Source organism: Homo sapiens, chromosome 12 (assembly GCF_000001405.40).
Source record: "Homo sapiens chromosome 12, GRCh38.p14 Primary Assembly".
NCBI classification, from domain to species: domain Eukaryota; kingdom Metazoa; phylum Chordata; class Mammalia; order Primates; family Hominidae; genus Homo; species Homo sapiens.
Window position 1 is genome coordinate 93,304,850 of NC_000012.12, and position 14,210 is coordinate 93,319,059.

Below are 14,210 nucleotides of genomic sequence, written 5' to 3' on the forward strand. Positions count from 1 at the left end.
AATAGTGATTCTCAATATCTCAAATAATCCAAACTTAGCAATCCTTCGTTTAGATTCAATTTTGGCCAGGTGTGGAGGCTCATGCTTGTGATTCCAGCATTTGGGGAGGCTGAGACAGGAGGATTGTTTGAACCCAGGAGTTCGAGACCAGCCTGGGCAACATAGTAAGACCCCATCTCTACTAAAAATAAAACATTAGCTGGGTGTGGTGATGTATGCCTGTGGTCCCAGCTATTCAGGGGGCTGAGGTGGGAAAACAGCTTCAGCCTGGGGGTCATGCCACTGCACTCCAGCCTGAGTGACAGAGGGAGACCCTGTCTCAATAATAATAATTAGATTCAGTTTTGAAGACTAAAGTTTCATTAATGTCCACAGTTTTTGCAGCGGAGGGGCAGAATTAAAGAGACTTCCAAATAAATGGGCTGAATATACATTAGGGACATCTGCTTTGAGAAAAATGGAGAAGTACATTTCCCTATTCCTTCTGCAAAGTACAACTGAAAATCATGGACCTTATATATAAAGGTGGAAAGAAGAATGCAGACTACTAGGAATCTCAGGACCCAAAGAATGACATAGCAGTGAATTCCCTGGGTTTCTTTATTGCCTCTTATATCCCAAACTGTGCTGGAGCTGGAGAAGGTAGATGCACAGAATGCCAATGGATACAGACAAAGAAAGTCCAAAACAAGCCTGATGTCTCTAGCCAAAGGACCAGGAAAAGAGAAGGTTAGCCAAACAGCAAGACAGAAAACTTTTCGATAATAACCACTCTACTCCAGCTAAACATCATAGAAAAACTCTGACTCCACCTCCACCCATGCCAGCAAAGGTAAAGGAGGGAGTCTGGACTTCCACTTCTGTTAATGGGGCACCCTTCCCCTTCTCCACTGGGATGGTGTCAGAGTAGCTCTAGTGGAGATAATAAGACTTTTTCCAGTGCTCAAAAGTAACAAGGCTACTCCAATGCTTGTGGTATCAGTGGAGGCAACATGGGGAGCCAGAATTCCCACCTACACCCGGCACTAATGAGGAGCCCTTTCTGTCCTGAGGATGTTAATGGATGCTGAGTGGGGAACCTGGATTTCTACCACACCTGGCATTAATAAAGAGGTGGCTCCCTCACCACCAGCCAGAGTGGTATTAGAAGAAGCCAGCTAAAACAGAAGGCTTAAATAAGATCCAGAGTCCCATAACACAATACCCAAATGTCCAGGTTTTGATAAAAAAACATTCATCATAGTAAGAACAAGAAAAATCTTAACTTATCTAAAAATATAACCAATAGGTGCCAACACTGACATGACAGAGATACTAGAATTATCTAACAAATATTTGTAAACAGCTATTATAAATATGCTTCAATTAGCCATAATAAACATATTTAAACAAATGAAAAAAATAGAAAGTCTCAGCAAAGAAATAGAAGATTTAAAGAAGCACCAAATGGAAATTTGGAACTGAAAACTACAACGATAGAAATTAAAAACTCAGCGGACGAGCTCAACAGCAGAATGGAGGAGACAATAGAAGTAAACAGTGAACTTGAAGATAGATAACTAGAAATTACCCAGTCTGAACAACAGAAAGAAAATAGATACCCCACCCCCCATAAATTAACAGAGCAATAAGGATCTATAGATTATTTTAAACAGTCTAACATTAATATCACTGGAGTCCCAGAAGAAGAGAAGAAAGAAGATGGAGCTGAAAAAAGTATTTGAAGAAATAATGGCTAAATATCTCAAGTTTGGCAAAAGATGTAAACCTAGAGATTTAAGAAGCTCAATGCACCTCAACAAGAAAAACCAAATGAAATCCATGCCAAGACACATCATAGTCAAACTTGGGAAAACTAAAGACAGAGAAAAAATTATTAAATTAAGTCTCTTCCATGCTTCATGACCAAAAAGAAAAAAAAAAGTAATGAAAGCAGTGAAAGAGAAATAACACCTTACTCACAGGAGAAAACAATTCTAATGACAACAGATTTCTCATCAGAAATCATGGAAGCCAGAAGGAAGTGGCACAGTGTTTTTCAAGTGCTGGAAGGAAAGAACTATCAATCCAGAATTCTATATCCAGAGAAAATATCTTCAGGAATGAAGGGAAAACTTAGACATTCTCACATGTAAGAAAACTAAGATAATTTGTCATCATCAGACATAAACTAAAAGATAGGCTAGGCTGGGCACAGTGGCTCACGCTTTTAATCCCAGTACTTTGGGAGGCCAAGGCGGGCAGATCATGAGGTCAGGAGTTCGAGACCAGCCTGGCCAACATAGTGAAACCCCGTTTCTACTAAAAATACAAAAAAATTAGCCGGGTGTGGTGGCACACGCCTGTAGTCCCAGCTACTCGGGAGGCTGAGGTGGGAGAACTGCTTGAACCCGGGAGGCAGAGGTTGCAGTGACCTGAGACCATGCCATTGCACTCCAGCCTGGGTGACAGAGTGAGACTCCGTCACAAAAAAAGAGAAAAAAAAAAAGTGCTAAAGGAAGTTTCCTAAACAGAAAAACAACAACAAAAAAATGATAAAAGCAGTAATCTTGGAACATCAGGAAGAAACAGTAAAATTATGAGTAAATATAATGGATTCTTCTTCTCCACTTAAGTTTCCCAGATTCTTTTAAATAGCTAAAGCAAACATAACAGTGATGTGGTTCTAAATGCATATAGATGGGCTATTTAAGATTTATGGGCTGGGCGCAGTGTAATACCAGCACTTTGGGATACCAGGGTGGATGGATCGCTTGAGCCCAGGAATTTAAGACCAGCCTGGGCAACATGGCAAAACCCCATCTTTACTAAAAATACAAAAATTAGCCAGGCACCAGGAATCATGCCTGTAATCCCAGCTACTCAGGGGCTGAGGCAGGAGGATCACCTGAGCCTTGGGAGGTTGAGGCTGCAGTAAGCCATGATTGCACCACTGCCCTCCACCCTGGGTGACAGAGTGAGACCCTGTCTCAAAAAAAAAAAAAAAAGAATTATAAATATGGAGAGTAAAAAGACATAAGGAGAAGTAAGGTTTCTATGCTTCACTTAAACTGCTAAAATGTCAATTCCAGTAGACAGTGATAAGTTATGTATATATAACCACTAAAAATACTATGCAAAGATACACTTAAACGCACTAAGTTGTTTTTGTTTTTTGTTTTTTTTTTTTTTGAGACAGAGTCACACCGTCGCCCAGGCTGGAGTCTAGTGGTGCGATCTCAGCTCACTGCAAGCTCCGCCTCCCTGGTTCACGCCATTCTCCTGCCTCAGCCTCCCGAGTAGCTGGGACTACAGGCACCTGCCACCATGCCCGGCTAATTTTTTTTTGTATTTTTAGTACAGACGGGGTTTTACTGTGTTAGCCAGGATGGTCTCAATCTCCTGACCTCGTGATCCGCCGGCCTTGGCCTCCCAAAGTGCTGGGATTACAGGTGTGAGCCACCACGCTCGGCCTAAATGCACTAAGTTTTAATAACCCATAGGAAGTTAGAAAAAAAACAGAAACATAAAACTGAGAGAAAACAAAAGATACAAAATACAAAAAATAAAATGTCAGGCACAAGTCCTATCACATCAATAATTATATCCAGTGTAAACGACCTAACACACCAATGAAAAGACAGAGATTTGCAGAGTAGACGAAAAAACATGACCCAACTATACATGTGTCTACAAGAAATTCCAATTATAATTAGATAGGTAGATTCAAAGTAAACAAATAGAAAAAATATATCTCATCTAAACATTAATCAAAAGAAAGCAGGAGTTGCTATATTAATATCAAATAGAGTAGACTACTGAGTAAAGAAAATTACCAGAGATGGGGCAAAACATTCCATAATGATAAAAGGGTTAGTCCATCCAGAAGACGTAGCTTCCTAAATGTGTGTGCAACAAACAACAGAACTGCAAAATGTGAAACACAAACTGATAGAACTGAAAGAATAAATAGACAAATCCACACTAATAGTCATAAACTTCAATGCCTTCTCTCAACAACTGATAGAACAAGCAGACAGAAAATTGGCAGGGATGTAGAAGAAGTCAGGAATACTTTGTTTGTTTCCTTGAGACAGGGTCTCACTCTGTCACCCAGGCTGGAGTGCAGTGGCATGATCACAGCTCTCTCCAGCCTCGACCTCTCAGGTTCAAGTGCTCCTCCCACCTCAACCTCCCTTGTAGCTGGAACTACAGGCACCTGCCACCACACCTGGCTAATTTATGTTATCTTATTTTTTGTAGAGATAGGGGCCTCACTATGTTGTCCAGGCTGGTCTCAAACTGCTGGGCTCAAGCAATCCTCCTGCCTTGGCCTCCCCCAGTGCTGGGATTAAAGGTGTGAGCCGCCGCTCCCAGCCTGATAATACTATTAACCAATAGGACCTAATCTACATTTATAGACTATTCCACCCAACAATAGCAGAAAACACATTATTTTCAAGCGCCCATGGAACACATCCCAAAATAGACTATATCTTGGGCCATAAAACCAACATCAACAAATTTAGAGGACTAAAGGCTGGGCGCAGTTGCTCATGCCTGTAATCCCAGCACTTTGGGAGGCCAAGGGGAGTGCAGATCACTTGAGCTCAGGAGTTCAAGACCAGCCTGGCCAACATGGTGAAACCCTGTCTCCACTAAAAAAAATTAACCAGGCGTGGTGGCGGGTCCCTGTAACCACAGCTACTCAGGAGGCTGAGACAGAAGAATCGCTTGAACCTGGGAGGCAGAGGTTGCAGTGAACCGAGATCGAGCCACTGCACTCCAGCCTGGGTGACAAAGAGAGACTCTGTCTCAAAAAAAAAAAAAAAGTATAAATAAAACTGCCATATTTAAGAAAAATATTGTTGCAGGTTGGGTTTCCTGGGAAACAGACTTAGAGATGGAGGCTTACACACAGGAGGTTTATTGGGAAGTGATCTTGGGATTAACACCTGTGGAGATATCAAAGCTGCTGATTCAGGCAGAGGGAGAAGTTGGGCTGCAACGCAGTCACAGCAAGGGCTTCCGCCCATCTCCTGGGGAGCCCTTGAGCTAGGATGGTCTTACAGAAATATCCCAAAATAAAGCAAGGGGGCTGGACATTTAGACCTCACATCATGATATGAAGGGAAATGACCTTGGACAGCTGGCTTCTCATCACTAGGGTTGTCGGGGAGAGCAGGAGGAGACAGGTGTGAGCTGTCAGCCAATCAGACTGCCGGTTTCAGTCATGAAGTGGGAGATCTGGGCAGCCCACCCAGTGCTTATTCTAAGTTTGAATCACCTACTCATTCACTCTCACCAGGGAAACCTTTATGTAGACCCAATAGACAGTAAAGGCTACCTCCTGAAGAAAGAGCAGGCTGTTAGAAAAAAATAATCATAGCTACAAAACTTTTTCTTACCAGAGGTAAGATGACTTGTCACCACCAAGGTAAGGCAGCATCTTATGCTCAGCACAGGACTGATTCCAGCTTCCCTGTCCCACGTAAAGGCAGCCCAGCAGTGAACCTCATGCCATTGACCCACTCTTCTCTCTGCCCCTTGCCAGCACTGACGATATCTTACCAAACACTAGTGACTGACACATGAAATGCATTCCATCCCAGAGAGCCTCCTGAATGTTAATTTTTTCACGAACGGACAGGGAGAAAACTTTTATGTGGAAATCGTTGTGACAGAAAAATGGTCTATGGCTGGGTGTATACTTTCAGCAGAGCTCAAAGGTCAAACCTTCAGTCTGATCATACAGTTTTCATGCTTTCTGCCTGCTGGAGATTCCCAGAAAAATTTTCCAATAGAAAAAAGAAAGACAAAAAAATCATTAGAACCAGAAAGAACATCCGCCCGTCATACTCAATGTTAAAAAACCATGTGACTCTGCCGGGCATGGTGGCTCATGCCTGTAATCCCAGCACTTTGGGAGGCCAAGGTGGGTGGATCGCCTGAGGTCAGGAGTTCAAGACCAGCCTGGCCAACATAGTAAAACCCTGCCTCTACTAAAAATGCAAAAATTAGCTGGATGTGGAGGCAGGTGTCTGTAATCCCAGCTACTCAGGAGGCTGAGGCAGGAGAATTGCTTGAACCTGGGAGACGGAGGTTTCAGTGAGCCGAGACTGTGCCATTGCACTCACTCCAGCCTGGGTGACAAGACCGAAACTCAGTCTCAAAAAAAAAAAAGTGACTATTTAAACAAGGAAACTCATTCTTTTGCCCACTTATGGTATGATCATTTAAAATAACATTTTTAAAAATGTATAGTATAAACTTGGGGGAGGGCGTGGGGAGAAAGAAGGAAGGCTTTCTTCTCAGCACTTTCCAAAAGCAGACAGATGAAATATAGACCTAGCACTAGAATAATGACTTCAGATGAAGTCCTGTGAAAGCAAGTTCTATCTGACTGTCTCTCCGTCTGTCTGATGTGACATCAGTGGTCAAACCCTGGAAATGATGGCTAGAGGGCAAAATCTATTTTAGGTGTTCTCTCAATCCCCTTAGCCTCACCAACCCACTTGTCCCAGGTTTATCAAATCCATGCTAGAACCTGGCCACACTGCTAAGTCTAAATCTCCAGGAAAAATAACGTTTAAAAAAGAAAAGACTGGGCCAGGCCCGGTGGCTCACGCCTGTAATCCCAACACTCTGGGAGGCCGAGGCAGACAGATCACCTAAGGTCAGGAGTTTGAGACCAGCCTGGCCAACATGGTGAAACCCTGTCTCTACTAAAGATACGAAATTAGCCAGGTGTGGTGGCGGGCACCTGTAATCCCAGCTACTCAGGAGGCTGAAGCAGGAGAATCACTTGAACCTGGGAGACGGAGGTTGCAGTGACCTGAGATCGCACCTTTGCACTCTAGCCTGGGCAAAAATAGTGAAACTCCATCTCAAAAATAAATAAAAGACTTAAATACAGATGAAATTCAAAGGTAGGGGCAGTAAACCTACTTAGCGAATAATCAAGTTTCTGCATTTCCTTTTCTCTTTGGTATGAGTGCAATAATCTTGTCCCCAGTCTACGGGCTCTTCTGGTACTTCCAATAAATTCCTTCCAGGGACCCCACCTAATCCTTTGTACATGGTCCCAGTTGTCTGCCTTCCTGAGGTAAACGCATTCCTAAAACATTCTGTGTGAAGGAGATGTTCATAGTACAAATAATACTTTTCCACTGACTTTAATTCTGATTCCCTAGTATTTTTATCATGGCTTCTAATCTATCTTCTGGCTACAAGAAGTGAGTCATTTGTAAAGTGAAGAATTTATTTTAAAGTGAGCAATCATACCACCCATTTTCTGTTTTCCTCCAGAGAGGCATCTAAAAATGACTTTCCCCTTGTAGTCCCAAAGTTCTCAAACCTACACTCACCTCTTTGCCCAAAACTTCCAGCCTCAACTATGTTAAGGTCTCTCTCTGCCTTGCTTAGAGCCCCACCGTCGCTGTGATAGTTTTCTAGAGATGCCCAACGAAGTATCGCAGAGTTGTTAAAGAACAGGAATTTATTTTTCCACAGGTCTGGAAGCTAGAAGTCCAAGATCAAGCTAACAGCAGGGTTGGTGTCTTCTAGGGCCTCTCTCCTCAGCTTGCAGATGGTTTTCTCTCTGTACCTGTCTATATCCACATTTCTTCTTGTAAGGTCACTGGTCATATTGGATTAGGGCCTACCCATAATTTTATTTTAACCACTTCTTTAAAGACCCTATTTCTAAATACAGTCACATTCTGGGGCCCCCTGCCTTAAGGGACAACATCCACCACATTGGCCGGTATGCTAAATGGAAGCATTACATTTCTTTGTGCCAATTGCCATAAGAAGTAAGGCCGAAAGCAGGAGAAGCATGTCTTCATTTTCTCAACTCACTACTCCACCGTCTAGGTCCTTGATTTAAATGATTTCATGACACAAGTAGGAACAGACCCTTTGGGCAACTCAGCAGCTAAGCCAACATCACCTTAAGCAAAATGTTAGACATGAAAATGTCACATTACATGGAAAACAGCGTTAAGGGACCACAACTACAATAAGGAAAAGACTGTGGTTTTTTTTCTCTCTTATATTGTTTGTGTAACTAGGATGATTCCTGTACATAATTTATTCGTATGCATATGTATCCATATATTATATATAACATTTATTGAGATCCAGCCATGTGCCAGGCACTGCTCTAAAAGCATTATGTGTACTAGCTCACTTAATCCTCATGATAGCTCCATGAGATAGATACTTTTATGATCCCCAAATTATGGACAAGGTGCTGCAGCACAGAAGTTAAGCCGCTGCCCAAGGACACACAGCTGGTAAGTGTTGCAGGTGGGATTTGGCCCTGGAAGTCTGGCTTTTGTATCTTATGCATCAGTTAGCAGACTATTGCTTATTTTGATCAAGTCTTTTCTATTTCTAATATGCAATTAACATATAAACACCATTAGTTCCATTGAAAAACCCACTGCAGAGATTTCAGAAGGGGCTGCAAACCCCTTTGAGCAGGCTCCCATCAGGCTACCTTTCCTGGGTGGTCAGCAGCTGCTTTGCTCCTCTGTGAACTTTTTCCTTAATAGCAAAGTGGCCTCAAGAAGACCTCTGGCCTCAAGAAGCTCCCCACTCTTGTACTGGCAATTGGCAATACAGTGTACAAATGTACACTGCTTCAACTGGTCCTAGAAAACCTGGGAACCGATGCATCCCCACAAGGAAATATTAGAGTTGGGGACCAGGTGAAATCACAGTCATACCTTCAGGACCTTCCATATATACTTGCCTTATTCAGCACGTACTCAGTACTAAGAACTTAAGTTATTTACACATATTAGCTCACTTTAGCCTAGAAGAAGCCTACAAGAAGATATTAATGTTCATCATTAAGAACAATGTATATAAAAATGTAAACTGCAAAATGTGTTAAAAATCTTAAGCTTTAATAAACTGGAGTTAAAAGAGAAATTGAATTAAACCACACTATCCTTACTCAAGTTCAAAACCATATATATTTTCAAAAATTATTTTCTGTAGAGATGTGGCCTCACTATGTTGTCCAGGCTAGTTTGGAACTCCTGGGCTCAAGCAATTTTCCCATCCCAGCCTCCCAAAGTGCTGGGATTACAGGCACAAGCCACCTCAGCCAGTCCAAAAATATTTTTCTTAAATCATACTCTCACAAAAACGTTTTGTCTCACTCCACTTCCAAAGTGACTCATGGAAGCCGTGAAAACCAGAACCAATAATAGTAATGGGATTAAAAATAAATAGAATTTATTAAATATCTACTGTGTCCCAAAGTGGCATGTGTTTCTTTTCTTCTTTTTTTTTTTTTTTTTTTTTTTTTTGTAGAAATGGGGTCTCACTATCTTTGCCCAGGCTGGTCTGGAACTCTTAGTCTCAAGCAAGCCTCCCGCCTCAGTCTCCCAATGCACTGGGATTACAGGCATGTGCTGCCCAACGGTGTTTCCTGGACTCAAACTTGCTTTGATGTCTCAGGTCTGCATCTACAAACTACTGGATGTTGAGAAAGTCCTGTAACTTTCCCATGCCTCAGTTTCCTCATCTGTAAGTGGGATGACAAAGATACCTATCTTGTAGGCTTGTTGTGAGGATGAATTGAGTTAGCTTATGTAAAACGCTCAGAAAAACACATAGCATGTTGTAAGAAGACAGAAGTGCCTGCGGCTATCATCAAAATCTCACAACCTTGGTAATACACATTTTTACATCTGAGGAAAACATCTGAGGCTTAGACCTAAACTTGCCGCAGGTAACTCATTAGAATGTGGCTGGGGCGGGGGACAGTGGTGAAGGTTCCAACCCAGGTGTGGCAGATTCCAGAGCCTGCGGTCTGAACCAGCCCCTGGTGACCTTTACCCCGAGAGCGGAAGAAAGGCAAACAGGCGGAAGCCCACAGCCGAGGCCATCGCGCTGCGCATGATCCGTGGCAACCGTCCTTCCTTGACCTTTGCCCACTGGAAAAGCCAATCCCAAGTCAGCCTGGGGTAAAGGGGCGGGGCCTTGTGGTTGGCATAGCAACAGACATGGGTCAAACTCACCTGGGGGTTAGGGCGGGGTTGTTTGTCACTAAGGAATCATTGCTGAATGACACTACAGTGGAGAACCAGAGCCCCGGGCTTTTCTAAACAAACAGCCCTGGTCACTGCTGAATTCAAAGTGTACTGCCGGGGCCGGGCGCGGTGGCTCACGCCTGTAATCCCAACACTTTGGGAGGCTGAGGCAGGCGGATCACGAGGTCAGGAGATAGAGACCATCCTGGCCAACATGGTGAAACCGAAACCCCGTCTCTACTAAAAATACAAAAATTAGCTGGGCATGATGGCGGGCGCCTGTAATCCCAGCTACTCAGGAGGCTGAGGCAGGAGAATCACTTGAACCCAGGAAGCGGAGGTTACAGTGAGCCGAGATGGTGCCACTGCACTGCAGCCTGTCAACAGAGCAAGACTTGTCTGGAAAAAAAAAAAAATGCGCACCGCCGGGCCCGCCTCCCTCAGCACCCAATGCTGGTCGGAGCCCTCGGGCAAACAAACTACCTCCTGCATCCGGGAACTTACCCTCCAGGCGGAAGGAAAGAATGCGGGGACAGAGACCTGTCCTGGGAGAAGCTCCTTAGGAGATGAAGGAGCACCGAAAGATGCCTGACGTTTTTACGACTCCTCTTTCATGTTTGTGTCCCATCTCTTCTCAGAAGAATTAGCCATGTTTTGTGAATTCCAGGTGCCATCTTCAAAAACACCCTTGGATTCTAGCCAATCACCAAAATGGCAGAGACGGCCACCTGAGACCAATTAGAATATCCACACCAGTGGAAGAGAGCTCCAGTGGTAAATTTCCTAGATGTACAACTATTGATTTCATGATGTATTGTTCCATAAGGTGACTTTAAAACAGGACAAAAGTCATGATTCGTATCTTTGTTTCATCTTGTCGTTAATATTATATCTGGTAATTTTCTTGAAAACATAAGGACTTATTTTACAAATTTGTATGCTTTCATAAGTACTTCATTGTAACTTTAATAGTAAATAAACTTTGGCTTTATTAAGGTGTAGGAGAGAAAACCCTACGAACAGAAATAAAACAATTGTGATGAATCATTCATTAATCCCTGGGAGAAGCAGAGTGGGCGTACTGTGGGCTTAGGCTCACTAAGAAGGACCTGGATTCACATCCTAGCTTTGTCCATTGTATGTGGCCTTGGGCAGGTCTCATAAGCCACACTCCTTTGCAAAATGAAGATAACAATATCTACTTCTGAGAGCTGTTTTCAGAGGATGAAAGTGCATAATAAGTGCCTTATCTTACACATGGCCCAGTCTTGGCTCAAAAATGTTACTTTTCTTTCTTGAATATCCCCACTTCCTCTTGAACAGCCTCCCCCAAGGCAGTTAGTTGCTCATCTTTCTCCCTAATCCCCAGATAATTTGTTCTGAGCAGAATAATTTTTATCCCGGTAGCTTAGAACAGTGGCCAGCCCACAACAAGTACTTGGTGTCTGTTTATCTGGACTTGGTTGTGCTGTAATTTATGTGCTGACTGAGAGCTCCCAGGGATAGGAACCACATCAGCTAGCATCTAGCATAGTACCTAGTACATAGTGCCTACTACATAGGCTATGCTCAGTAACATAGTTGTGTTACTATGCATTGCACTCCTCATTTTTGCAAGGTACACAAACATATCTGTCTTCAGCAGCCAGGCAGGTGAATTAAGATAAGAGCGATAAAGTCCGTGACAAACTGGAGGCATTCCCATTCAACTAAACAAAAAACACTTTTCTGGCCAAACACAACAATCTGTCCACAGGATTTACCCCTCTACCATAAAACTGCCACCATAAACAAAGCTTTGTAATTAACAAGTTCTTTTTTTTTTTTTTTTTTTTTTTTGGGCAGGGTATCAATCTGTCTCCCAGGCTGGAAGGCAGGAGTGAAGTGAAGTGGCATGTGGTTCACAGTAGCTTCAACCTCCTGGGCTCAAGTGATACTCTCATCTCAGCCTCCCAAGTAGCTGGGACCACAATCACATGCCACCATGCTGGGCTAGGTTTTTTATTTTTTGTAGAGATGAGGTTTTGCCATGTTACCCAGGCTGGTCTTGAACTCCTGGCCTCAAGCGATCCTCCCACTCCAGCCTCCCAAAGTATTGGGATTATAGGTGTGAGCCACCATGCCCAGCCCACAATTACTTTCTTATATGTTATCTCATTTGATACTTGAGCAATTTTCTGAAGAAAGCGTTTTTGAGTTCATTTTACAGGCATCTGATAGAGAAACTGAGGCTCAAATACAGAGATTTATCCAAATCAAACTAAGTTAATAGCCAGCCAGGGATTTGCATTCATGTCTTCTAACATCGACCCAGGACTCCCGCTTCTCTTTACACCATATACTGTTCTTTATGTGCCGCTGTTTTTCTCTTTATAGTTTTTCTAGGACAAAAACCAAGCTCCATCAGAAGGTTAAACCTGTGTCAGGTTTACAGTCCAATGACCGCCGTGGGTCATAATCCATCTAGAGCTCTGAGACAGGTGCCTTTAGAAACAATGCCTTCTTTGCAACCAGAGGAGCGTGTTTTCCTCGAGTCATCAGCATAGAGAGGCCTGGCAGCAAGGTATGATGAGCATGATGAGTGGGCTGACAGGAAGAACTCTGCACCCAAATGGCAATGAGGAAGCAGGCTCCTTATATCAACGTGAAGAATCTTTAAAGGAACTTGAGTTTGTAAAGAGAGCAAGAAAAACAAGATAGAGTCTTAGCAACTAGAGGAAACAAGCATCTCATTTCTGTAGGCCAGTGTTGTCCAACAGAAACAAAATGTGAGCTACATATAACTTTAAATTTTCTAAAGAGTAAAATTTAAAAAGTAAAAAGAAACAAAAGAAATTAATTTGAATAATACATTATATTTAATCTAATATATACAATATATTTTTAACATGTGACCAATATAAAAATTATTAATGAGCTATTTTATTTATTTATTTTTGAGACAGAGTCTCACTCTGTCGCCTAGGCTGTAGTGCAGTGGCTCAATCTTGGCTCAGTGCAACCTTGCCTCCCGGGTTCAAGTGATTCTCCTGCCTCAGCCACCTGAGTAGCTGGGATTAATTAGCATGTGCCACCATGTCCGGCTAATTTTTGTATTTAGTAGAGACAGGGTTTCACCATGTTGGCCAGGCTGGTTTTGAACTCCTGACCTCAAATGATCTGCCTTCCTCGACCTACCAAAGTGTTGGGATTACAGGCGTGAGCCACTGCGCATGTAATTCTTTTTTTAATTTATATTTCTTTTTTTTTTTTTTTTGGACAAAGCCTTTGACATCCAGTGTGCATTTTATATTTACACTCAGTGGCACTGGCCATATTTCAAGTATTCAGTAGCAGCTGGGCACAGTGGCTCACACCTATAATCCCAGCACTTTGGGAGACTGAGGTGGGCGGATCACCTGAGGTCAGGAGTTCGAGACCAGCCTGGCCAACGTCGTGAAACCTTGTCTCTACTACAAAAAAAACCCAAAAAAATTAGCCAGGCATGGTGGCGGGCACCTGTAATCCCAGCTACTCGGGAGGCTGAGGCAGGAGAATCGCTTGAACCTGGGGCAGAGATTGCATTGAGCCAAGATCGCGCCACTGCACTCCAGCCTGGGCGACAGAGCGAGACTCTGTCAAAAAAAAAAAAAAAAAAAGAAGTACTCAGTAGCCACATGTGGCTAGTGGCTGCCATCTTGGACAGCACAGATCTAGGCCAAAGAAATTCCTAAAGGTCTATATTTCTGGCATAGTAAAAATGAGTGACATGGCTCTCTTCAAGGCCACTGAGAGGTCTCATTTCCAATCCTGCTAGTCCAGTTTGAAGACTGATCTTTTAGGGTCAACTTCAAACTTTGCCGCCATTTAGAGAGCAGCCGTGTCAATTTCCAGCCAGTTGCTCTGCAAAGCCAATCAGAGCCCATTATGTTTGGCTCCCTGTTTTTGCCTTGCAAGAGTGCAGTCCTCAGCATGTCCCCTTTCAAATACCTATTATTCTGGTGCTGTCTTCAGTGGTGCCATGACTGGCAGTGATTAGGGTGACATTTTTTATGTGCCTGAGTTCACAGAGCAAATTACATAGCGTGAGTGGCATGGTGATTAAGTGGCTGTGTGTAAAGACTAGAATCGCTACATTTGCATGTCTCTGAATAATGAGATTCTTATCTCCATTATGTGGCAATGAGGTCGAAATTGATAGCG

At 43.1% G+C, this 14,210-nt stretch overlaps 1 long non-coding RNA gene across 1 annotated transcript in view, besides 2 other annotated features; it reads right to left on the bottom strand.

The window, feature by feature from the left end:
- LOC643339 (uncharacterized) overlaps window positions 1-14,210 on the bottom strand; it is a 373,979-nt gene that overhangs the window by 301,092 nt on the left and 58,677 nt on the right. The gene's annotated exons all lie outside the window — the stretch shown is intronic.
- Window positions 9,760-9,904: an enhancer, noted in NCBI's record as "145 bp enhancer 125 fragment used in the MPRA reporter construct; PK_construct_5351". NCBI's record gives its function as "activates an SV40 promoter by MPRA in HepG2 cells {active_cell/tissue: HepG2}" and the evidence as "EXISTENCE:reporter gene assay evidence [ECO:0000049][PMID:23512712]".
- Window positions 9,825-9,838: a transcriptional cis regulatory region, noted in NCBI's record as "HNF4 motif; enhancer activity is reduced when this motif is scrambled". NCBI's record gives its function as "necessary for full MPRA enhancer 125 activity {active_cell/tissue: HepG2}" and the evidence as "EXISTENCE:site-directed mutagenesis evidence [ECO:0005528][PMID:23512712]".